Source organism: Homo sapiens, chromosome 1 (assembly GCF_000001405.40).
Source record: "Homo sapiens chromosome 1, GRCh38.p14 Primary Assembly".
Taxonomy (NCBI): Eukaryota; Metazoa; Chordata; class Mammalia; order Primates; family Hominidae; genus Homo; species Homo sapiens.
In genome coordinates this window covers 176,171,341-176,198,757 of record NC_000001.11, presented here as the reverse complement: position 1 = coordinate 176,198,757, position 27,417 = coordinate 176,171,341, and the positions used below count along the sequence as shown (strand labels likewise).

The 27,417-nt window shown below is 36.5% G+C and overlaps 1 protein-coding gene across 29 annotated transcripts in view; it reads left to right on the top strand.

The window, feature by feature from the left end:
- COP1 (COP1 E3 ubiquitin ligase) overlaps window positions 1-27,417 on the top strand; it is a 262,456-nt gene that overhangs the window by 8,529 nt on the left and 226,510 nt on the right. For 23 of the 29 annotated variants that reach the window (NM_001286644.2, XM_047427786.1, NM_001001740.4 and 20 more), the window contains 2 exons: window positions 14,066-14,125; window positions 22,751-22,848. In NM_001286644.2, coding sequence (NP_001273573.1) covers window positions 22,807-22,848 — 42 coding nt within the window. In that variant the 5' untranslated portion in view covers window positions 14,066-14,125; window positions 22,751-22,806. Of the gene's footprint in view, window positions 1-14,065; window positions 14,126-22,750; window positions 22,849-27,417 lie in introns of those variants that run through there. The other 6 variants (XM_047427793.1, XM_047427798.1, XM_017002069.3 and 3 more) reach the window with 2 other exon arrangements.

The window sequence follows — 27,417 nt, the reverse complement described above, 5'->3', positions numbered from 1 at the left end:
TGTAAGTGTTCTTTATGTATTCTGCATACATCTTTTGTCAGACCTGTGTATTGTGGTATTTTCTCTTAGTCTGTTGCTTATCTTTTCATTTTCTTAATAATTTTTTAAAGTGCAAAAGTTTTTTCTTTTTTCTAATGTATCGATAAAGTTTTCAGTTTTAAGTCCAAATTGATTTTTATTATTTTTAATTTTTGTGTTCTAGCTAAGAAGTTATCTAACATGAAATTAGAAAACATTCTCTTGTATATTTTCTACTAGAAGATTTATAGTTTTCTTATGGTTATGATCCACTTCAAGTTAGTTTTTATACACTGTGTTTGGTAAGGGTTGAAGGCTTCATTAATATTATAACATCATTTGTTGAAAAGATCATCTCTGTTCATTGAATTTTCTTGGCACCTTTCTCAAAAATTAACCATATATATGAGTTTATTTCTGCAATTTTTATTCTGTCCCGTTGGTGTATATATGTTTATCCCTACACAAGTGCCACACTGTTTTGATTATGGTATTATTATAGTACATCTTGAAATCAGGTAGTGTAATTTTTATCCTTTATTTCAAAGTTGTTTTGATTATTTATGTTCTTTGCATTTCCACATAAATCTTAGGATTAGCGTGCCAATTTCTATAAAAAAGGATGTAGGATTTTAATGTTGGTTACTTTGAATCTGTGATTTCATTTGGGAAGATGACATCTTAATATTATCTTTTGAATCATGAACATAGTATATTTCTCCAATTATTTAGGTCCTCTGTAATTTCTCTTAGCAGTGTTTATGCTTTTCAGTTGAGGTTTTTCACCATATTTTTAAAATTTACCCCTAAGTATTTTATGTTTTTGATGGTGTTCTAAATGTTGTTCTTTTAATTTCGATTTCTAATTGTTGCTAGTATGTAAATACACTTTTTTTATGTTGACCTTGTATTTTATGAAATTTTAAGTTTACTTACTAGTTCTAATAATTTTTTGGTAGAACCTATAGGATTTGTAAGAAAACAGTCATGTTATCTGTATATGAATATACTTTTACATCTTTTAAATTTATATGCCCTATTTAAAGAACGTACGTTAATGGATTTATTTGATTGGGTAATTGTTTAAAAGGATTTTTTGGACCTTTATTAGTGAGTGATACTGGTCTGTGAATTTCTTTTAATTTTTTTCTGGTTTTCATATCACAGTGTATTGGTTTGCTTGGGCTGCCGTAACAAAATACAACAGACTAGGTGGCTTAAACAACAGAAATTTATTTTCTCATAGGTCTAGAGACTAGAAGTACAAAACAATGTGTAGGCAGATTCGGTTTCTTCTGAGGCCTGTTTCCTTTCTTTTTTTCAAAAGAGGTGGTCTTGCTGTCTCGCCCAAGCTGGAGTACAGTGGCACCATCACACTGCTTACTGCATCCTCGAACTTCTGGGCCCAAGGGATCCTCCTCCCTCATCTTCCTAGTAGCTGGCTCTACAGGCATGTGTCACCACACCTGGATAATTTTTATAAGTTTTTAATAGAGATGAGGGTCTTGCCATCTTGCCTAGGTTGGGCCACTTGTTGTTGTGTCATAGCTTTGTCACCTCTCAGTCTGCATGTTGCCTGTATCTTAGAAGAATACTGGTTGTATTGGATTGGGGTCCACCAATATGACTGTATTTTACCTTGATTATTTCTTTAAAGGCTTTATTTTCAAATGCAAATTCTGAGATACTGGGAGTTAGAATATAGGGATTTTCTTTTGCGAGGGATGGAAATACAATTTAACCCGTAACATAGGTATTATTGCTGGTTTCACTTTTTCTTTCCCTCCCTCCCTCCCTCCTGCTGGTTTCACTCTTTCTTTCTTTCTCTTTCTTCTTTCTTTTTCTCTTTTTTTTTTTTGCGTAGAGACAGGAGTCTCACTGTGTTGCCCTGGCTGGTCTTGAGCTCCTGGGCTCAAGTGATCTTCCCGTGCTTTGACCTCTCAAAGTGCTGGGATTATAGGCATGAACCACTGTGCCTGGCCAGTGCTGGCTTCTAAAAGACGATATGGAATGTTCCCCTTCTATTTTCTGAAAGAGTTTGTATGAAATTGGTGTTTTTCCTTAAGTGGTTGGTGGAACTTACTGGTGAAGCCATAGTTTTGGGTCTTCATATATTTTGTATGATTTCACTCCTTCCCTTTGTGGGAAGGTTTTTAATTACTAATTCAATTTCTTTAATAGACACTACTCAGGTTCTATATTTCATGAACTTTAGTAGTTTAAGAGTTTCTCCATTACACCCGTGTTGCTGAATTTATTGGCATAATAATAATATACCCCTTATTCTTTTAATGTCTTGGATTTGTTAATGGTGTCCCATCTTTCATTCCTGATATTGATAATTTGTGTTCTTGTGTTTCTTTTTTCCTTGAATGGTTTAGCTAGAGGATTATTAATTTTTTTTAGTCTTTTCAAATGATCAACTTTCATATTATTGATTTTCTATATAGTTTGTTCATTTTCTATTCCACTAATTTTCAGTTTACTTTATAAATTTCTTCTGCTAACTTGGAGTTTCATGTTTTCTTTTCTGGTTTCTTAGTACGAAAGCTTAGATCATTGATTTTTGGCCCTCTTTTCAATAGCAACACTTAATCTTATCAATTTCCCTTTCTAATCCCTACTTTAGCTGTATCTTCAAATTTTCAATCAGTTCATAATACTTCTCATTTCCCTTGTGATTTCTTATTTGAAACATGGATTATTCAGAAGTATGTTGTTTAATTTATTTTACCTGTACATGCACAGGTTTGTTACGTGGGTATATTGCGTGATGCTAGTGATCTTGTCACCCAAGTAGTGGACATAGTACGCAACAGGCAGTTTTTCAGCTCCTAACCCCCTCCGTCCCCGATTTTGGAATCCTCAGTGTTTCTTGTTCCCATCTTTGTGTCTGTGTGTACCCAGTGTGTAGCTCCCACTTAAAAGTGAGAACATGTGGTATTTGGTTTTCTGTTTTTGTGTTAATCCGTTTAGGATAATGGACTCCAGCTGCATCCGTGTTGCTACAAAGGACATGATTTCATTCTTTTTTATGGCTGCAGTTGTTTAATTTCTAAATGAGAATTTTCTGGGTATCATTCTATGTCTGATTTGTGACATAATTCAACTTTGTTCAGTTAATATAGTTTGTATGATATTAGTCCTTTTTATAGAGACTCGTTTCATGGTCCACCATAAGCTTTATCTTCGCTAATGGTCCATATGCACTTGAAAAAAATGAGTACTCTGCCATGTGTAGGCTGAGGTTCTATACATGTCAAATAGTAAAGTTGGTTGATGTGTTATTTAAGTTCAGTATACTCCCATTCATTTTCTGTATACTTGTACTGTCAGTTACATATTCTTCAATCATCTCCAGTGCTAACTAGATTTGGCTATGTCTCCTTTTAGTTTTCTCAGCTTTTGCTTCGTGTATTTTGAAGCTTACACAGATTTAGCGTTGGTGAATTGATCTCCTTATCATTTTGAAATGTCACTCTTTATTCCTGATAATATTCCTTGTTCTGAAATCTACTTTGATGTTAATATAGCCTCTTCAGCTTCCTTCCTCCCTTCCCTCCCTCCCTCCCTTCCTCTTTCCCTCTCTTCTCCCTCTCCCTCTTTCTCTCCTCTCCCTCTTTCTCTCCTCTCCTTTTTCTCTTCTCTTCTTTGAGACAGGGTCTCACTCTGTCACCCAGGCTGGAGTGCAGTGGCGTGATCACAGCTCACTGCAGCCTCTACCTCCCAAGCTCAAGTGGTCCTCCCACCTCAGCCTCCTGAGAAGCTGAGACCACAGGCATGGGCCACCACATCTGGTTGATTTTTTTTTTTTTTAATTTTATTTTGTAGAGACAGGGTCTCGCCATGGTGCTCAGGCTGATCTCAAACTCCTGGGCTCAAGCGATTCTCCTGCCTTGGGCTCCCATAGTGCTGGAATTACAGGCATGAGCCACTGACCTGGCCTAGCTTTCTTTTCATAAGTGTTTACATGGTATGTTTTTATTCTTCATGTCTATTATGTACGTGTTTTAATATTTAAAGTGGGTTTCTTGTACCCAGAGTATAGTTCAGTCTTCCTTTTTATTTAGTATGACAATCTGCCTTTGTTGTTTTTGTTGTTTGAGACAGAGTCTTGCTCTGTCGCCAGGCTGGAGTGCAGTGGTGTTATCTTGGCTCACTGCAACTTCCTCCTCTTGGGTTCGAGTGATTCTCCTGCCTCAGCCTCCCTAGTAGCTGGGATTATAGGCTCATGCCACCATGCCCAGCTAATTTTTGTATTTTTCGTAGAGATGGGGTTTCACCATGTTGGCCAGGATGGTCTTGATCTCCTGACTTTGTGATCCGCCTGCCTCGGCCTCCCAAAGTGCTGGGATTAGAGGTGTGAGCCACTGCGCCCAGCCAACAGTCTGCCTTTTAGTTGGATTAGCTGGACTGTTTACATTTTAACATAATTATGATGTGCTTGGTTTTGTGTGTACTGTCTTGTTTGCTCTTTGTTTTCTATTTGTCTCTTCTATTTCTTTTCTCTTTTTTTCTTCCTTTCTTGCTTTTGGGATTAATTGGATATTTTTAAGATTTCCATTTTATTTCCACTATTTGCTTATTAATGATTGTGTGTATTTGGTGGGGGGAAGTGGTTGCTCTGAGGTTTACAATACTGATTTTTAAACTTTTTGTGTTCTACCTTCAAATATTTCATATACAATATAAAAATTTTGCAATAGTGTATTTCCATTTGTAGGATCCATTCTGCTACTCCCTTGTTGTCAAAAGTGTTAGTTCTCTGTTCCTTTTGTTTAAAAAAATGAGGTGAAATTCTCACAACCCTGAAATACGCCGTTTTAAAGTTGTGTTTTTAGTACAGTTGGCAGTGTTTCACAACCATCACCACTGTCTATTTTCAGAACATTTTTATCAGCCCCTAAAGAAACTCTGTACCCGTTAAGCACTCTCCTTTTCCTCTTCCCTTACAATCACTAATTTACTTTCTGTCTCTGTGAATTTACCTATTCCAGACACTTCATATAAATGCAATCATATAATATATGGTCTTTTGTATCCCATGTCTTTCACTTAACATGTTTCTAAGGCTCATCCATGTTGTGACATGTATCAGCACTTCATTCTTTTTTATGGTTGAGTAATATTCCATTATGTGGGAATATTATTAAATAACATAATATTTAAAGTTATTTTAAAATAACATTTTAATATAATTTATATTTCAGTTGATGGACAATTTGGGCTGTTTCCACTTTCTGTCTATTATGAATAATGTTCCCGTGAACATTTGTGTATGAGTTTTTGTTTTAACACATGTTTCTAGTCTCTGGGGCATTTACTCACAGTGTAATTGCTAGGTGATATGGTAATTGTGTTTTGCTTTCTGAGTAACTGCCAAACAGTTTTCCATAGTAGCTGCATTACTTTATTTTCCTACTAGCAATGTATAAGGGTTCTAATTTCTCCACATCTTGTCAACACGTTGTTTTCCTTTTTGATAATAGCCAACCTAATGGGTGTGAAGTGGTTATTCATTGTGGTTTTGATTTGCATTCCCCTTTTCACTAGTGAGGTTAACCATCTTTTCAAGAGCTTGTTGGCCATTCATTTATTACTCTTTAAAGGTTGTGTTTTCATTTTTAATAATTAACTTGTTTCAGACAGAAGTATGTTTCTTGGTAGCCAAAGGGAAGTTAAGGGAAAGTTGTCATCCATATTTTCACTGTTTGAATGCATTTTGTGTAGTGGTATATGCAATATACAGTGTTTAGGTTTTTGTTTCAAGAATAGAAGACTAGTTTAATTGGTACTATATTTTAAATTCAGCACTGTAGTTGTGAAATAAAACTTAACTACTGAAACAACTTTTTAAAAAAATTAATCTTAAAAATCAAAGTAGGGATACAAGGAACACATCTCCCATGCATTTTGGAGATTTCTTTCACCCCTGAATAATGGGATGGGGATACTATCTAATGAAATGTATCACACATGGTACCCTGTTCATATTTTCTTATACTGTAATAGAAATTCCTGTTTTTATAGCTCCTCCTGTGTAGGCATTTGTTTTTCTTCTGTGTGAACTTGGTATCTTCCCCAGTTGATTGGCCTGTGATTGGGTACTCTTCTGAAATGTGAGCAAAGCATAGCAATTACATCTTACTGGAATTGGCTTGAAAGATATTTTGGCCAATTATATTTTGTGTTTTAGGAATTGGAAATAAAATGAGAAACACTTGAGTTGGCCTAAAGTTCTTGGTGTAGTGTTGGTGCTGAAGGGGCTGTATATTGTAAGCGGGTAGTCTTGAGAAGCAGAAAAGTATTAGTCACATTAATGGTGGAGCACTAGTGAAGATCTGTGTCTGTGTTTGAGGCCTGGTACTGTTGTTACTTGTGGTTTACTATGAGAGGATTCTCCTAATTGTTTCACCTGTACCTAACTTATAACTACACAAGACGAATTAAATCTTCTGTTAACTGTAAACCCTTGGTGGTAATTAGAACTGATTCTGTGTTTGGGCAGGAGCCTTGGGAGTGTGTGAATGGAATAAAATCCAGGAAGAGATCAAGAATGTATTGGGGTAAGAGGAATCAGCAGAGATACTTCTTGGCCATATGTAGTTCCCTGATTCAATCTTGCTTTTCTGTTATGGATACCAGAAATTGGTTCACTTGCATTATCTTTTCATGGCTATTACTTGTATTAATCATGGTGTCCTTTCCTTCCTACTCCATTGTGGTCTCATCCTTTTCGAACTTCTGACCCTGAAGCTAGCACATAGTTATTTAGAATCCTTATTTAAAAAATATTTTATTGTTAAATTACAGTCTAAAATGATTGCCGCTATGCTATTCTTTTCTTCCTTACCTCTCGTCTCCTTATTCATAGAGCCTGTGACTTAAGGCAATGTTAAACACAGGTCTTGATGGAGACAGATTAGGGAGGAATCACTTCACAAAATACCAAATAAGTTTAATCTCTGCTTTTGAAAAAATGGAGATTTAAGTTTTTTAAGGCTTTTTATTAGAGCAAATGGAACTGGGAAAGAGTGAGATGATGGGACATAGACTGGAACTTAACTGCTGCCTGTGAAGATTGGTTCAGAGGATCTAGTGTTATCGGTATAGGTGTAAAGAAGAGTTTGAGGTTTATTATTTTTTTTTCCTTTTTACTCATTTTTTTTCTTTCAGTCCTGAATATACTTGGGGCCAGTTGAATTTGGATGCTGCTTTTGAAGGAAGCAAAGGAAGAATTAAGAAATTAAGGGAAAAGAGGAAGCTAGAGAAATTTCAAGTTTTGAAAATTTTGTGAAGAAGGAAGAAACATTTCCATGGCCCTTTTGCTGGGCGTCTTTCATTCTTGAAGTTGTATATAAATTTGAGTATATTTAAAATAATTTTTCCAAGGTCTTCTATGTGCTGATAGCTGTGATTTTGATTTTCATAATCACAATGATGCATATTTTTATTATTTTTTACTCTTCTGAGATTATAGCAAGATAGAAAGAACATTGGGCTTGGAATTTAAGACCTTGAAATTTAACTTTGGACAAATAATTTATTGTTTTCGAGTCTGTTTTTTCATGTATAAATTGGGATGTAGTAATATTCTATAAGATTATGAGGTTTAGAGTATATAATGCATGTAAAAAGGCATTATAAATTATAAAATCACAAAGAATCAGGTGGTTATTTGCTAGTGTTTGGCATTTGGTATCAAAACACGAAAGTGTTTCTGCAGTCCTGTTTATGTGAGGTGTAACTACTGCTTGTTTTTCTAAATGACTCTAGATTGTGCCTGGCTCTGATTATCTCAGTAATATTATTATTTTTAAGTATTTAACCTTTGAAAGATTGATTTTTTTTTTAGTTGGAACCAGTACTACTATAAGACAGTTGACACATTTTATGAAAGCATAATGGAGTTAGCATTTGTACTAAAATATGCATGTATTGAACTATGTACATATTAGTTTGTTGGACAGTTCTAAGATAGTACTTTGTAAGTACTTATTAAATTCACTTAATAAGTTTGGATGCTGCTTTTGAAGGAAATAATGCATATAAAAGGGAATGACAAATAGAGCACTGATTAACGATGTTACTTGGGCCGGATTGCAATATGACCCTTGATTAACTGAGATGATATGTCTTATAAATGCATATTAGATATGTGAAATAATTTTCTGTATCTGGATCTGTTCTGTACTGTTTTTTTTTTTTTTAAATGTCCCAAGTGACATACATTATCTTTTGGCAAGCTTAAGGTTGTGCAGTATGATATCTGTCCTTCTGGCAATTGGTATAAAAATGTCTTCTTCACAGCATTTTATTGCTTGAAGAACACGATTTTAATAAACAGTGACAAGAGGTAAAAGTTCAAAATAATCTCTACTAATACAGGTTGAGTGTCCCTAATCCAAAAATCTGAAATTTGAAATGCTCCAAAATCTGAACCTTTTTGAGTGCCACCATGACACGCAAAGAAAATACTTATTGGGGCATTTTGGATTTTAAATTTTTAGATGAGGGATGCTGAACCAGTAAGAATATAAATGCAAATATTTCAAAATGCAGACAGATCCGAATCTGAAACACTTCTGGTCTCAACCATTTTGGATGATGGATATTCACCCTGCAGTAGTTTGAATGATACTCAGTTTTTTGTTATATTTAAAGTTCTGTGGTTGGAGTTGTAAAGTCAGATGCCTATAATAACCATCTTTTTTTTTCCATCTGAAATCATTATTCATTATGCTTATTTACTCTTGTGTTCCTTTCTTTTTCATTCTAATTCTTTCTTGATTTTTTTAACCTCCCTTTTAAAATAATTCTTTCTTCAGAACAAGTTTGCTAAAGTTTTCTAATTGAGAATTTTTTCTTTCAGTTTTTTAATTATTGTTATTGTATTTCTTTCAGTCCATTTTGAAATATTAGATTATGATTGTTGTTTGTTTTGGTCATATTTTTCTGGCTTGCTTTCATTGTTTCTAGGGACAGTATTATGTTTCTTTTTCCTTTGGGAACCTTTGTTTCTCATTTTTTAGTGATGAAAGATAAATGTATTTTGTATTTATGTTCATCATTACTATTTTTAGAGCTCTTTATTTGTGTACATCCTAGTTTCTGTCTGTCTTCATATTCCTTCTGCTTGCAGGATTTACATTAATATATCTTGTAGTACAGGTCTGTGGGCAGCAAATTCTCTTAAATTTGTGTTTGTTTGAAAATGAGTTTATTTGCTTTCATTTTGAAAGATATTTTTGTTGAGTATAAAATTCTGAGTTGAAAGTTTTTTCTCTTAGTATTTTAAAGAAGTATTTTTGTTTCTCACTAAAAAATGAGAAACAAAGAATTCCCAACGGAAAAAGAAACATAATACTGTCCCTAGAAACAATGAAAGCAAGCCAGAAAAATATGACCAAAACAAATGACAATTATAATCTAATGTTTCAAAATGGACTGAAAGAAATAAATGCAGTAACAATAATAAAAGAACTGAAAGAAAAAATTCTCAATTAGACAGTGCCTGCTCCATTGTCTTTTGGCTAGTATAGTTTCTGATGAGAAGTCTGTTTCCGTTTTTATCTTTATTCCTCTGCATGTAATGTGTCTTTCTAGGGCTGCCTTTAAGGTTTTCTTTTTATTTTTGGTTTTAGCAGTTTAAAGTGCATTGTACGTGTTAGGGATATTTTCTTGTTTTTGAAATCCCTATTTAGGGGTTTCTGAGTTTCTTAGATCTGTGGTTTGATGTATTTTGTTATTTTAAAAATGATTTCAGTTACTGTCTCTACATATTTTTTCCTAACTCTTTCTCTGTCATCTGTGACTTCAATTACATGTATGTTAGAACATTTCACATATGTCACAACTCTGGGATGCTTTGTTCTCTGTCTGTGTGTGTGTGTGTGTGTGTGTGTATCTATGTGTTTTGTCACTTAGGCTGGAATGCAGTGGCCTGAGGAGAGGAAGAGAGGGGGGAAATAGCAGGTTGGTGGAGGAGTAAGAACACAGTGAGGTTTGCCATCTAATATGGGTGCAATTTGTGGCTCCCCAAAACAGTTACGGTAGTAACATCAAAGATCACTGATCGCAGATAATTATACAGGTATAATAATAATGAAAAAGTTTGAAATATTGTGAAAATTACCAAAATGTGACACAGAGATATGAAGTGAGCACATGGTGTTGAAAAAATGAGCTGCCAACAGACTCGCTCAGCACAGGGTTGCCCATTCTCCTTGAATGCTTTTGATTGACAGTGTTACAGAGGTCCTGAATGGATTGTTTTTCTAAATGGATGGTTCTAAATGGATACGTTTTTCCCTTAACCTACTGTTGGTATATTCTTGTTCTTCAAAATTGGAAAGAATTAATGGTATTTCATTAGGATCTCCTCTTCATTTCTGTAGTTTCTGAGATTTTTCATCCCTTTCTTGGGAAGGGGAGTAATTGGCCAGCCCTTCTTTCTTTATTCTATTCTACCTATTTCTGACAGGAATTCTTTAAAGTTTTTGGCTTGGGTGGATAGTACTCTTCCTAAGTATTGTAGTCTGTGCAGGCTGCTATAACAAAATGCCATAAAATAGGTAGCTTAAAAACGACAAAACTTTATTTCTCATGTTTGTGGAGGCTGGGAAATTCAGCCTCCACAAACATGGGGAGGTTTTTATGTCTGGTGAGGGCTAGATTCCTGATACACAGGCAGTGCCTGCTCTCTGGATCTGCCTGATCTCATGGAGGGAAGAGGGGATAAAATTCCTTTAGACCTCTTTTGTAAGGGCACTAATCCCTTTCATGAGAGTTCTGCCCTCATGACCTAAAAATCTCCCAAAGGCCCATGTTTTAACACCACCTTGGGGGTTAAGATTTCAACATATGAAATTTGGGAGAACACAAATATCAGACCATAGCACCAGTCCTATTACTAATGTATATTTTCCCGTATTTTCTCTTTTTGGTGTATTCTGCCACTCAGTGAATATTGTGTGCCAGGCATTGTATTGAGCGCCTCATAGATATCTTGTTAATCTGTGTAATGATTCTATGATATAAATGTCATCCCTGTTATACAAATAAGGAATTACAATTAGAAAGATTAAACTACTTGCTCAAAGTCACAAAGCTGTAGATGGCATAGCTAGGATTAATTTCACTTTTCTTGAAAGCTGTGGGGTAGAACTGTGATTAAAAAGCCAGTATTTCAGCCAGGAATAAGTGGCTCATGCCTATAATCCCAACACTTTGGGAGGCCAGAGTGGGAGAATCGCTCCAGCCCAGGAGTTTGAGAACAGCCTGAGCAACATAAGGAGATCCTGTCTTATACACACACACACACACACACACACACACGTATATTTATATGTGTATATATATGTGTATATAGTGTGTATATATGTGTATATATATGTGTGTATATATGTGTATATGTGTGTGTATATATGTGTGTATGTATATATATATGAGCTACATGTGGTGATATGCACCTGTAGTCCCAGCTACTTGAGAGGCTGAGGCAGGAGAGATGTCCCGAGCCCAAGAGGTCGAAGTTGCAGTGAGTCATGATCATGCCAGTGCACTCCAGCCTGGGTGACAGAGTGAGACACTGTCTCAAAAAAAGAATGGAGACCTTCTTTGATTCTCTTGTTATTCAGAATACATTTCTTAAAAGCTATTGGCTTTAACTGATTTGATAGTAATTTTTAGGTACTGTAACTTTTAGTATAAGTAGAACACATTATGTGACATGACACGTACTGTACCCCTGCTTTTTCTTTTTTCTTTTTAAATAAACTAACGGATGATGGAGCTGTGTGCGAGGTAAACCTGTAGTCATTTCTTCCAGTTTTCAGGCCAGAAACCTTCACTGATTTTTGTCTCATACCCAACATCTATCAGCAAACCATAGTCCTACCTTCAGAATATATCTAGAATCTCACCACTTCTCATCAACCCAACTACTACCACCCTAGTCCGTTTCAACACTGTTTCTCACTGGATTATGATAGCTTCCGTAACCATTTCTACACTTGGCTTCCCTTTAGTCTTCTTTTCAGCATAGCAGGTAGAATGATCTGGTTCATTACTGTGTCAAATCCCATCACTCCTCTTTTCCAAATCCACCAGTGAATTACCGTTTTACTCAACTTAAAAGCCGAAGTCTTTAACACATTCCTTAGTTCTTTGAGGTGCCCTTTTTTTTCTCTTTTCTTTTTGAGATAGGGTCTTGCTCTGTCACCTGGGCTGGAGTGCAGTGGCACAGTCTCTGTTCACTGCAGCTTCGCCTGCTGTGCTCAAGTGATCATTCTTCCTCAGCTTCTTGAGGAGCTGGGACTAGCTAGAGTAGCTGGGGCTGCAGGTGTGTGCCCCTATGCTTGCTAGTTTTTGTGTTTTTTTTTTTAATTTTTTTTTTGTAGAGATGAGGTCTCAGTATATTGCTCAAGCTGTGAGAGTGCCTTTTTAAAAAATTTGCATAGAGGTGTTCTGTGTCTTAGCAGTGACATACTTGAAGGATCCTCAAACACTAAAATACCCCTTTCTCAAAATGCTAACGATTAGGTATGTATTGTTTTCTATTAAATAGCTCCTGACATATTCAGTGAATTGATTGGTTGGTTCTTTTGCCGTTCCTCCTGCTCTGACCCCCAAATCTCAGTTTTCTTTACTATGGGTCCCTTTGTAGCTGGTGTGTCCTCTTATTATTATGTATTTATCATTATTGTATATATTGTATATATTTTCACATTGTGTTGTAATATCATCTATACATATTTGAGTCTGCCATTAGACTTTACATTCCTGTATTCTAAGGGATAGTGTTTATGCCCAAGAAATTTTTCTTGAAGGAGTGAGTGTATTTTCAGTTACAGTTTTAAGTGTCATTGTATCATCCGTAAGGATTTGGATTTGTATGCAAATAAGAGAAAACTTGATAAACATTGACTTAAGCAAGTCAAGATTTACCTTCTCATGTAATGTGAAGTCCAGCGGAGACAATCCAAAGCTGATGCAGCTGCTCAAGGATTTCATCCAGGAACCAGTATCCTCCTTTCTTCCTAGCTTAAGGTTTTTGTCTTCATGGTCAGAAGATGGCTGTTGTATCTCTGAACACTGCATCAGAATTTTAGTAAGGAAGAAAAGGGAAGGATAAAAGGAAATGTCTTTTTACAAGGTTTTGCATTTTTGTTCTCATAGATGGTGGCCCCTTAGAAACTGATGTCTATATTTCACTGGCCAGAATAATATCATATAGCCAATCCTAAGTACAAAAAAGGCTGGGATTTTGAGTATTCTGTTTTTTATTCTTTATAGGGAAAGAGGGCAGAAGAGGATTACAATTGGTATTTAAAGTACCAGAAAGTAGTGTAGGACAAGTGGTTAAGAACGTAGACCTGAATTTGAATTTTGACTTTGTTACTTCTTAGCTGTGTGACTTTAACAGCTCTCTGCTTCTGTTCCCTCATCTATAAACTGTGCCTAGTAGTTGGTACCTATTTCACTTTGTTGTTGAAACTATTAAATGAGTCAATATATATTGTGGGTTTAATGTGTATAGTTTGTTTTATTTAAATAGCTAATAAGTTGTTATGATTGTTGTCATTACCTACAAGCATTGTCGAAACTAGAATAATAAATTTATCACTCAAGGAATTAGCTTTATTTGGGATAGGAAGAAAAGAGTATTTAGCAGGTCTCGGTACACGCTTTTGAGTACATGTGATGGAAAACGATGGTAGAGCTTTCTTAAAAGGGCTCTGGTGACTGCATTGTACTACTAAAAATTATGTGCCGAGTTAAAATATTGGAACCATTTTGATTTACTCATTGACTTCATTTTGAAGCTCAGTGACCCTTAGGGTCATCCTGAACAAATCATCATTTTACCAACAATCCCCTAAAGTTTAGTTCAATAGAAATTTCATCTCTTATTGATAGAATGTTTATAGACTTAGCTCTAAACTGTATATTGAAATATGATTTCATTGGTATTGTTACTAGTCTTTTCCAATTTGTAATCACTCTACTTTTAAAAAAAAATCAATTATTTTTCTTTTCTTTTTAGCCCCATCTGCTTTGATATGATTGAAGAAGCATACATGACAAAATGTGGCCACAGCTTTTGGTAAGACAATTCTATTGAGTAAAATAATCTTTTAACATTTTAAAACTTATCTGTAAATGTAGCCAATGAGAAGTTACGTGTTTTAAACCAACTTTGATTATGTTACAGTCATATTTTTTTTCTTGACATGTCTTTGTAGATGTGGCAGTTTAAGGCTGTTAACATAATGGCTGGCGCATAATTTCTGTCAAATGTTTAGATTTAGAATAGGCCTTACTGATGGATTTGAAAACTTCTGCGTTTATTAATTGTTAATAGGAACTTTTCACTCCTGTTCTTAGTGATGCTGGACAATCAGGACCAACCATGAAGCACTAATTACTCACTTGTGGGGATAGGTTGGAGAACGCAGTGAAGCAGGCTAAGAAGGTCATGGAAAAAGAATACAGGATTAAAAAGTTCTGTGTTCTTTTCTTTAACACTTTGCTCAATATTAACTTTACATTATATCATGCCAGGTTAACTCATACATCAAAAAAATTTTTTAATTTTAAAATTTACATAATACCGAATTTATATATTTTATATATTTTTTTCTGGTTCTTTAGTCTTGGAGGAATTTATAATTTTAACCACAGTTATGTAAACAGTGCAGTAGTGTTAAGTATGTTCATATTATTGTACAATTGATCTCTAGAACTTTTTGTGCAAAACTGAAACTCGTCACTCATTAAACAACAATTCCCCATTTCCCCTTCCCTGTATCCCCTGGCAGCCACCATTCTACTTTCTGTTTCTATTAATTTAACTATTCTAGATACCTCGAATAAGTAGAAGTATTTGTCTTTTTGTGACTCGCTTATTTCACTTAGCATAATGTCTTCAGTGTTGTAGCATGTGTCAGAATTTCTTTGCTTTGTAAGGCTGAATAATACTCCATTGTATATATATACTACATTTTGTTTATTCATCTATCAGTATACACTGGGGTTGCTTCTTCTACCTTTTGGCTGCTATGAATAATGCTGCTGTGAACATGGGTGTACAAACATCTCTTTAGGACTCTGCTTTCAAGTCTTTTGGGTGTATACTCAGAAGTGGAATTGCTGGATCATGTGGTAATTTTGTTTGTAATTTTTTGAGAAACTGCCATACTGTTTTCTATAGGGGCTGCACTATTTTATGTTCTCACCAACAGTGCATAAGAGTTCCAATTTTTCCACATCCTTGCCAACTCTTATTTTCTGTTGTTGGTTTTTGATAGTAGCCATCCTGATGGATGTGTAATCTGTGTATTTTTAATTATTTTTGCTTATTTTTAAACCTATTCTGTTGGCATATTATTTTAGCCTTAGTATACCTTGTGTTCTAATACTCCTTATATTCTAATTCATATTGAAATCAGGCCCGTAATTTTATGCTGAAGTTGGATATGATATCGGGCAGATTTATATCCCTTCATCATGAAGAGTATGGGGTATTAACACTAGTCTGTAAGATCTTTCGTTTCATCTGGAGCATGATGCTTTAGTGATAGGTGTATTCCCTCTGCTAGTCACTTAAAAAGCTTTAAATAAAAATCACTTTCTTAGCTTGTATTATCTATATTCTTTCTTATAAAATAAAGTATTAAAATGATAACAGCAATGTATATTATTGCTTTTAAAAACCAGTCATTGTACAGGAAGATGTAATATAAAATACAAATGTCCACCTTTATCTAGTTTTTCTTACCTACCTCCTCAGAGGTTATCAGAGGAAAAGGAATGATTAGGTATTCTTTCAGAATCCTTTTACTATTTTTTTAAGTCATTTTACTTTCTTGAATACTTTTTATTTTCTGGTATATCATTGACATTATTATGATTCACGAATCACTTTCTGCTCTGTATTGCCAATGACATTCTGGACATGTGGGTCTTGCTTCAGGGCTGATACAGGTATGGTCTTGGCCTTTTCAGGCCATTGTTCGGCAGTAGTGTTCTCTTTGGTCCATAAATTGACCTAGCATCTTAGCATTCCATAGGAAACCATATGTTTTTTTCAGAGATTTTGGATTATGATTATTCTGGAAAATTAGGTGATCTAGAGTAGGCTTTCTCAACCTTGTCACTATTGACATATTAGACCAGATAATTCTTTGTCGTAGGTGACTGCACTGTGCTTTATAGATTGTTTAGCAGTATACTTGACCCCTACCCAGTACCACCCCTGCCCATCTCTGGGGTTGTGACAACCAAAAATGTCTCTAGACATTGCAGATACCCCTTGGGGGACAAAATTTTCCTCCCTTGAGAAGTACTCATCTAGCGCTAAAAGAACAAGTTCTTGATATTGTTAGACCAGGATTCTACTTCTGGTTCTGAAACTTACCTAACCTTTGTCAAGTTACTCACTCTCTGCTGCTGCTGTCCTGTTCCTCTTCTTCCTCATTCTCTTTTTACTCCTTCAATTCCTCCTCTTTTTATGGATTTAAAAGTGTTGAAATACGAAATAGATTGTGAAGTGAGGTTTTTAATTTTCTTGAGTGTCCTGTAACTTACATATCCATTGTGGCATTTTTTAAAAAAGGCCCTGCATCAGTTCAGTGACCTTTTTTCACTATGTTGTGAAGTGGAATAAATTACTGATTGAACTTATAAATGGACAGGCTAGGGCTTTTCAATAAATTTATAATCTTCATGTTGTCTTTAGGTCATTGTTGGAAAGCCCCATTGCTTTCTTAAATAGCTTTACCTCCTGCTCTCAAAACAATTTAGGCTTAGATCCTTATTATAATACAATTTCATTTTTATGTTATACCCTGATGAGAACGTGTGTTTTTTTGTTTATTTGTTTGGTTTTTTTTTTTGAGATGGAGTCTCGCTCTGTCACCAGGCTGGAGTGCAGTGGCTCGATCTCCGCTCACTGCAACCTCCACCTCCCGGATATTCCAGCGATTCTCCTGCCTCAGCCTCCCGAGTAGCTGGGATTACAGGCGTGTGCCACCACGCCCGGCTAATTTTTTGTACTTTTAGTAGAGACGGGGTTCACCATGTTAGCCAGGATGGTCTCGATCTCGTGACCTTGTGATCCGCCCGCCTCGGCCTCCCAAAGTGCTGGGATTACAAGCGTGAGCCACTGCGCCCAGCCAAGAATGTGTTTTAAGATACCCACTGGAGAGCAGGTTTTAGTAGAATAGAGGCCATAATGTTGGCAGGAACTATTAAAACTGGAGGCTGTCAATTCCAACATCAGGCTTGCTATACTGATTTTTTTTTTTTTTGCAGTTTTGTTTAAAGCAAAAGTTTATAATTATTTACTCTTTCCTAACATGTGAGGGCTATGGAACTTCAGTCATTAACCGTAGCCTCTTGTGTCAACTTTCTAGTAACGTAAATTCTGGCTGGTAAGCTGGATTCAAGCAGTATACCACTTCAAAGCTCATCCAAATTATTACCACTAAATCAAATTGGACCACATCAGCTGTTTTTCCCTCATCCCAAGTGAAAATGTCTTTCCTAGTAACAATTTGGAGACAATATAGCAGGAACTTCTTTCACTTTATTTATTCCCACTTGAGAACCCACTGTTACCTGTATCTGTAGCCTAACTGAAATACAATGATATAATAAGAAATCTGACTTTTACATAACGTAGAGATAAAATTGGCTCTTTGTCTTTGCCCATTTGCTGCCTCCAGCTTGTGCCCTGTACCGTATGTCTACCAAGCCCTGATTTACTATTTCGCTTCATTACAAGTTAGTTACAATTAATGGGGTCCTTCAGCATCGTCATCTCCCAGCATGTGGGTGATCAAGCCTGAGTGTCAAATTGCCTTTTGAGACTCTTGGCTAATCCATCATCTTGCACCATACTTTTGGTCTTTCTTTACACCTGGTTATTAGATGTAATGACTGGTTCTGATTTGTCCTGGCTGTTCTTGTTATAGTTTATTCTTTTTTCTAGAATTTTCTGATTACTTACAGTTGTTTATATCTACTCATCCTTGTTTACATAGATATAAAAAGATATTTATATTTGTTAGCAAGTATATACATAGTAGAAGAAACAACCATATACATCTATAGAGAAATACACATTTTTTATTAGCAGATACATATTTAATAGAGGAAATAGGTACACATTTATATCAGCAGAATTAAAATAATTATTTTTAAGAGTTGCAGTGTGAGTAGCTTGAAAATTTCTCAGGTGGACCCGAGATATGTGTCCCTTTTACCTCTTTGTTATGCCCACCTGTTGTTGAGCACTAATCTAGATACTTATCCTTCTCTTAGTATCCAAAGCTTTGTATGCAGGCTGGTAATGGTCAAGTAGATTAGATGAATGAGAATGAATTAGAGTTACTGGGGTAAGAAATACTGAAAATTTGTAGTTTGTTTTATATGATCCAGAAGGCAGCAGACAGGCGTATGTTGCTTTCCTGGCTGTATCTACTCATTCATGCATTCAACATTTACTGAGTTTGAATTCTTTTAACAGGATATTGTGCTAAACATTAAGGGTACAGAGGGTAAAACAAATCCTTGCATTTAATGACCAAATAGAAGAAGGGCTGATTGGCACATACAGAAATAAGTACAAGATAAGATAGTAACTATTTCTCAAACTAAGGCAGGTCTCTTTTGGGGTGGTAGTGAAGTAGTAGATGCTCTAAGATACGCTCGATGCATCCTGTTGTCACTTAAGTTGTATACAGTGGTATGTAATTTGATATACTTTGATTTTACAATATAATGGATTTTATCAAGTGCAATGCAGAAAAATCACTTGAACTAGTGTTAGTGAGGACAGTTACTTCCAGCTATGTCCCATTTTTTTTTTTTTTGTCTGAGAGATAGTGTAGTAAGCCTATTGATGTGGAATAAGATTAGGATACTAAAGAAAAGAGGATTTTCTACTAGATTTTGGAATAATTTCTTGTATATTGACAAAAAATTTTTTTTCTGTTTTTGAGACTGGGTGTCACTCTCTCACCAGGCTGGAGTGCAGTGGTGCAAACATGGCTCACTGCACCCTCGATCTCCTGGGCTCAAGCAATCCTCCTGCTTCAGCCTCCTGAGTAGCTAGGATCACAGGGACAGACTGCCACCATGCATGGCTAATTTTTAAAATTTTTTTAGAGTTGGGGTTTCACCACATTGCCTGAGCTGGTTGAAACTCCTGGGCTCAGGCAATCCTCCTGCCTCGCCCTCGCAAATTGCTGAGATTACAGGCACGAGCCACTGCACCCAGCCTAACAAACTCCTCTCTGACTTAACAGCCTAGCTTGTTCTTGTCATATGCACATTTTCTATCATTTATTTTAAAGAAAAGTTATTTGCTAAAACCCATAATGTTCTCCTTCTACTTATCTGTCAACCCATCTCTTATCTTTATTATGTAATTTTTTTTTTTTTTGAGACGGAGTCTCACTTTGTCGCCCAGGCTGGAGTGCAATGGCGTGATCTTGGCTCACTGCAACCTCTGCCCCCCAGGGTCAAGCAATTTTCCTGCCTCGGCCTACTGAGTAGCTAGGACTATAGGTGTGCACCAATATGCCCGCTAATTCTTGTATTTTTAGTAGAGATGGGGGTTTCACCATGTTGCCCAGGCTGGTCTCAAACTCATGACCTCAAGTGATCCACCCACCGTGGCCTCCCAAAGTGCTGGGATTACGGCGTGAGCCGCTGCACCCGGCCTTGTCTTTTTTTAAAAAAAAAAACTAAAAAAAAAAAATTCTCCTGACCTCAAGTGATCTGCCCACCTTGGCCTGCCAAAGTGCTAGGATGACTGGCATTAGCAGATATACCCAGCCCGGCATGTCTCTTACCTTTTTTTGGGATGGAGTGGGGTGGGGACGGAGTTTTGCTCTTGTTGCCCAGGCTGGAGTGCAGTGGTGTGATCTTGGTTCACTGCAAGCTCCACCTCCCGGGTTCAAGCGATTCTCCTGCCTCAGCCTCCCGAGTAGCCGGAATTACAGGTGCCTGCCACCATGCCCAGCTAATTTTTTGTATGTTTAGTAGAGACGGGGTTTTGCCATGTTGGGCAGGCTGGTCTCGAACTCCTGACCTCAGGTGATCTGCCGGCCTTGGCCTCCCATAGTGCTGGAATTACAGGTGTGAGCCACTGCTCCCGGCCATCTCTTATCTTTAATAACCTTTCAGAGTCTCTCCTTTATGACTTGCTTTGTTTGAACTTGCTGATTTTTTGTTTTTTTGAGACAGAGTCTCGCTGTGTCCCTCAGGCTGGAGTGTAGTGATGCAATCTCTGCCCACTGCAACCTCAGCCTCCTGATTAGCTACAACCATAAGCCATGCAGAACCAGGCCCAGCTAATTTTTGCATTTATTATTATTATTTTTTTTTTTTTGTAGAGACAGAGTTTTGCCATGTTGCCCAGGCTGCTGATTTAAAAAAAGAGTTAAATTTTGTATGTATATTTCCTGGTAATGTTAACTCATTTCCTTTTTCCCTAAGCAGACTGTAAATTTCTTCATGTTGTGATTCTTAGTCTATTGTATTTGCTTGCCTACGTTATGCTTCTTCCTTGTAATAAAAATGAAAATAAAGATTTAGTATGTTATTTCCTTCAGTGAAATTTCCATGTAGGAAATTTTCAGTCATACATGAAGCATATTTTGTGATTATGGTAATCCTAGCCTTGTCAGAGTTGCAAGAGGTGATGATACTGTTTTTGGAACATTGTGCAGGTCATTTTTCAGTAGATATTTGCATATCCGTTATGTGCCTGGCATTTACTTCAGTCTTTAGGTCCCTGTGATTTGCCAAAGACCACTGTTACTTTGATTCTTCACACCTTCCTCCTTTTTACTTATCTTGAAAGTAACAAATGTGAGATGTGAAAGTAGTTGATAACCAGAAGGGCGAAACCTGGGGAATGTAGGTTTTTATTTTTTTGTTTGTTTTATTTTGTATTTTGTTAAGGTGGAGGGGGAAGGTAAGTGGATATAAAAATCAACTCAGTTTACAAAGCTCAAGTAAATTTATAGTAATTTGGATACGTAATAAAAGAGGTACTTTCTCTGTGGGAATGATTTTTACAGATCACCTTTGTAATTTCTTAGAAATCATTTTTTTCCTGAGTGTTACCAGTAATACTTACTATTATAGAAACCTGAATTAAAGACATCTACAAAGAAAACATTTCCCATAATTATATGACCCAGAAACAAATACTGTTAACATTGTGGGGATTGTCTTTTGTGGTTTATTTTAAATGTACACATATATGATTTTTTAAGAGAAGTGGGATTATATTATATCCACTGTGTTATAGATTGTCATTTTTATTCAGCAGTATGTATAATAACATTTTTTTCTTTTTTCTTTTTTTTTTTTAATATTTTTTTCTCATACCAGTTTGACACTTTTCCATGATTTGGTGAAAAATACTTAAGGAGTGTTTTTTTTAATAGGGAGGCACACAAATGTAAAAGGTTTAACATTATAGAAATATATAATGTAAGAAAGGGAAAATTTTCTGTAATCACAGTTCTCTAGCAATAACTATGAGTAGTTTATTTTTATGGCATACAAATTACAATAATTTGTATTGGATGGCTGTATAGCATTGCATTGGATTGATGTTTACAAATTTATTTAGTCAATTTCTTAGTGTTTAGGTTGCTTCTGTTTTATTTTGCTATTTACAGATAACCTTGTATTAAACACCCTTCTAAATATATATTTCCTTAGGATAAATTCCTAGAAGTAAAATATTCAAAAGGGTATGTAAAAACCTTAAGGTTTTTCCTGCAACTTGCCTTCTAGGAAAGTTGTGCTGGTTAACATTTTCTGTAACAGTAGTTGAGATTGTTCATATCCACATATACTCTTTAACTATGACATTATTTTCTTTTGTCTTTTTTTTCTCTTTTTTTCAGACAGGGTCTCATTCCGTCACTCAGGCTGGAGTGCACTGGCATAATCATGGCTCACTGTAGCCCTGAACTCCTGGGCTCAGGTGATCCTCCTGCCTCACCCTCCCAGTAGCTGCATATGCTATCATGCCTGGCTAATTTTTTCATTTTCTGTAGTAATGGAGTCTTGCTATGTTCCCCAGGCTGGTCTTGAACTCTTGGCCTCAAGTGATCTTCCTGCCTCTGCCTCCTAAAGTGTTGGGATTACAGGCATGAGCCGTTGTGCCTTACTGGCAGTATTTTATTTTTCCATCCTAATTGGTAAAATCTAGTATATAATTTTAAATCAGCTTTTTGTGACTCGTGAAGATGATGGTTTTCTCATGTTTATTGACTAATTTTTGTCTTTCGTTGAGTTTTCTGTTTCTCTTTTTTATTTCAATGAACTGAGTATTAAGGGTATTCGCAGGCCAATAATATGAATAGTCTGTTTGCTTAACTGAGCTGTAGGCATTAGCTTTTCTGGTGTTGTTATGAACTATCTAAATTGCATAAACTTAAAATTTAGGGAGTACAGCTTGTTAAATTTGTATACAGTGTCCTTGATGTTTGAGTTTGGTTTGAAATAACTTTTGTGTAGTGTTTACCCAGTAAGTGCCCTGTATATCCTGTTGATAATGTAAAAATATAAGCAAAAATAAATTTATTAGATTAGTTATGTTGAAAATGAGGAATAGAAGACTAATAGTCATTATTTTGTGACCAGTTTATTAATTTTTCATTGATTTAATTAAGCCTTTTTTTTCCCCCCCTACTAATAGCTACAAGTGTATTCATCAGAGTTTGGAGGACAATAATAGATGTCCCAAGTGTAACTATGTTGTGGACAATATTGACCATCTGTATCCTAATTTCTTGGGTGAGTCTTTGGAATGATTTTTATTTTAAAAATATTTCGATCCCCAAAATTGTGTGCTAGCGCTAATTTATTCAGAAAACCTACCTTAGTGGTAAGCAAGTCTCTCTCTACTGTATACCACAGTGCTTTCCTCTTCTTGGGTTGTGACATAGATTCTATACATTGTTAGTATTTTATTATTTTTAAGTTTTATTAAAAAATTCATAAAACTTTTAGATTATTGTGTATATCAGGGACCCCTGGGCCATGGACTGGTACCAGTCTGTGGCCTATTAGGAACTGGGCTGCACAGCAGGAGGTGAGGGGCTGGCAGGTGAGCGAGCACTACTGCCTGTGCTCTGTCTCCTGTCAGATCAGTGGGTGGCATTAGATTCTCAGAGGAGTATGAACCTGATTGTGAACTGCACATGCAAGGGATCTAAGTTGCACGCTCCTTATGAGAATCTGATGCCTGATAATCTGAGGTGGAACAGTTTCATCCTGAAACCATCCCTTCCACCTCCCTTCAGTCTGGAAGAATTGTTCTCTATGAAACCAGTCCCTGGTCCCAAAAAGGTTGGGGACTGCTGATGTAGATGACAGACTGGATGTGAGGTTTAACAAAAATGGCAGCAGTTCTGAACACCTTTAGGTATCCCTGTGAAGTGTTATACATCCCTACTGTTTCTGCTTTTGCGGCAGAAGTGAGAAAGAGTCCATGGGTCTCGGGAACTCAGGTTTGTTGAATATTGAGGGCAAGGGGACAAAAAAACTTGGGTGTGATGCTTGCTGAGTTGGGAGTGAATGGGTGAAGAGAATCTGAACTAGGGAGGCAATTAAAAATTAAGAACTTGGGAAGGAATACATGGAGGAGAACTTTTGAGAGAGGAGTGGTAAGAACTAGAGAAGAGAGACATGAATAGGGAATCCTTAAGTATAAATGATAAATGATCGGAAATAATAACTAGTCAGAACCAACTGTGAATATCAGAAAAATTCTGCATGTTAACTACCCTAAGATATTTTAGGAAACCTTTAATCTGAATGTTTTGGGAATGAATAATAAGCTAAAGAATAATTTTCAGGTATGAGTAGGCATGAAGTAGGGCACTCTTGGGATTATATATCAAAAAGGTCAATTCTGCATTTTAAAGACTAATATGCTCAGAGTTAGGGTGTGGTGACTACTTTTGTATTAGATTCTGACCTGCTAGTACTTTGGTGGCAGTTTGATTTTTAGCTCAAATTGTTGTTTAAAATAAATTATGAATTTGAACGTATTCAGCTATGGTTTTCCTTTTTATCTGCTCTAAAAGTGCCTTAGCTACAATAGTTTTTTCTCTGTTACTCTTCACTGTAATTTTTTTTTTATGAAGGAAAATCGCTGGAGGATTACATAGCAGAAAGGGGTGCTTAAAGGAATTGAAGATTTTCTGCTAGAATGACAAATTCTTCTAAGTGGCTAAAGTTTTATGGCAAACTTGGAGAAGGAACTTAGGAAAAGAACAAAGAGAAATATTGAGTGGCATGGTACCTTGCAGGATGATACTTGATGGCCTAGTTTAGATAATAGGGAAACCACATCCTGTAGGGCAAAATCCTTTGTCCCTGTGCTTGTAAATTTGGATTGATGCTGCCCTGTGGAATCTAGGATCACTAAAGATGACTATGCTTTTTCTGTAGTCATAACTTTGGAAAACTACTTACTCTTTTGGAGTGGTTAAATATATAAAGGAATGTGATGTTCTGAAGATTTTGGTGTTTACTAGATTTTTCAGGCAACATTCCTTAGTTCACAAGTTTGAAATTCTGTTTTGTGAGTTTCTAAATAGTGAGAGAGAGTTATATATGAGTATGGAAGGAATATAAAAATATACTGCCACTTAAGCTGGAAAGTGATCCCCTACATTATATATATTCTCTTTTTTTTTTTTTTTTTTTTTTGAGACAGCATCTCACTCTGTTGCCCAGGCTAGAGTGCAGTGGCACGATCTCGGCTCACTGCAGCCTCCGCCTCCCAGGTTCAAGGATTCTCCTGCCGCAGTCTCTCTGGTTGCTGGAATCACAGACGTGCGCCACTGTACCCGGCTAATTTTTGTGTTTTTAGTAGAGACGGGGTTTCACCATGTTGGATAGGCTGGTCTCGAACTCCTGGACTCAAGCGATCCTCCCGCCTCAGCCTCCCAAAGTGCTGGGACTACAGGTGTGAGTCATTGCGCCTGGCCTTAGATATTCTCAAATATATGTATCTAATGAACAGTGAAGTCACATTTACTGATTTTTTTTTTTTTTTGAGACAGCGCCCCACTCTGTTACCCGCTGGAGTGCAGTAGTGCGATCATGGCTCACTGCAGCCTTGATCTCCCTGGTTCAGGTGATCTTCCCACCTCAGCCTCCCAAGTAGCTGGGGCTACAGACATGCGCCACCATACCTGGCTATTTTTGTTTGTTTGTTTTTGTAGAGACAAGGTCTCACTATGTTTTCCAGGCCGGTCTCAAACTCCTGGGCTCCAGTGATCCTCCTGCCTCAGCTTCTTAAAGTGTCGGGATTACAGATGTGAGCCATTGTGCCTGGCCAATTACTGGTTTTTTTTTTTTTTTTTTTTCATTTTGTTTTTTTGAGACAAAGTCTCGCACTGTCACCCAGGCTGGAGTGCAATGGCATGATCTTGACTCACTGCAACCTCCACCTCCTGGGCTCACATGATTCTCCTGCCTCAGCCTCCCTAGTAGCTGGGATTATAGGTGCACACTACCACACCCTGCTAATTTTTTGTATTTTTAGTAGAGACAGGGTTTCACTATGTTGGCCAGACTGGTCTCAAACTCCTGACCTCGTGATCACCCACCTCGGCCTCCCGAAGTACTGGGATTACAGGTGTGAGCCACCGCCCCTGGCCCAATTACTGATTTTTTAAGCTAGAAGTTATCTTGACGGTGATCTCTAGTGCAGCTTTCAGTGGGATTATATTGTTGTCAACTGTGGAAATAACATTTCATCCTGATACATCTATTTGTGTTTTTCTGCTGATTACCTCTTCTAGCCATGTCCTTTGTTCAGTGATAGCCAAATCCTAAGGTCTTACACTAGGTGTGTAGAGACTGTCTCCTGTTGGCTCAGAGTAATGTCATTGAGATATGTCGATCCATGTGTTCCTGAAAGTGGAATATCACTTGTTTTTTTCTATACTAAAAAATGTTTTCTAAGTTATTTTCATTGCTTCAGCTTAAGACGGCATGATTTGCATAATGCCTGCAGTTCTTAGTTGGGTTAAGAAGACCTAGAGCCTTTTAAAATGATTTCAGATTTCCTCTTAGCCTGGTAAAGTAATGGAGCATATGTTATATGATTCTGAGATGTTCTTGGCATCCTTGCACCTACTTAATTGATAGGTTAAGACCTTACACTTCCAATGCCTAGTCATAGGTAGAGGACTGGTCCACACAATTTCTACAGCAGTACTCTTTAAAGCTTTTTGCTTGTATAACTCATATGAAAATTTTGAAAAGTGATGATCCGTGCATATTTTTAAGTTTGCATTAAAATTTTTTCGTCATAACTTTAAGTGATTGTAAAGAATACAATTTTGGCCAGGTGCAGTGGCTCAAACCTATAATCCTAACACTTTGGAAGGCTGAGGCAGGAGGCTTATTCGAGGCCATGAGTTTGCGACCAGTCTGCGCAATATAGCGAGACCTTGTCTCTATAAAAAATTAGCCAGGCGTGTTGGTATGCAGCTGTTGTCCTAGCTTCTTGGGAGGCTGAGGTGAGAGGATCATGTGAGCCTGAGGATTTTGAAGCTGCAGTGAGCTATGATTGTACCATTCCACTCCAGCCTGGGCAACAAAGCAGAGACTCTGTCTCAAAAATAATTAAATAAAGTTTTAAAAAAGAGAGTAAATTCTAGAGTATTATAAAAATGATTACTTCAGAACTGTTTTATCACTTTTTAAAATGTAACCGGTGGAATCTAAATGTCATAGTGATTTGTTACTTAAATATTGATTTAAAAATATATAAGTAAGCTTTTTATTCAATACCAGAAATTTCATTCATTACCTTTTTTTGTGAACTTCTACTTAAACTTCATATCACACACATAGTTTTATCCTTATAATCTATTTCCGTGCTTGAAATTCTGACTAATCTGCCTGTAGTACTTTTCTGTAACAAAATTGTATATACAGGCATACTTTTATTGTACTTTGCTTTATTGCACTTTATAGAAGTTGCATTTTTTTTAACAAATTGAAAGTTTGTGGCAACCCTGCATTAAGTCTCTTGATGCCACTTTTCCACTACCATGTGCTCACTTCATATCTCTGTGTGCTCAGAAGAATGTCACTGAGATCTTTTAGCCAAGGTGTGAATGCAAAGGAAAAGTTCTTGAACGAAATTAAAAGTGCTACTCCAGTGAAGACACGAATGATAAGAAGGCAAAATCGCTTATTGCTGATATGGAGAAAGTTTAGTAGTCTGGATATATACCAGCCACAACATTCCCTTAAGCCAAAGTCTTATCCAGAACAAGACCCTAACTCTCCTAAATTCTGTGAAGGCTCAGAGAGGTGAGGAAGCTGCAGAAGAAA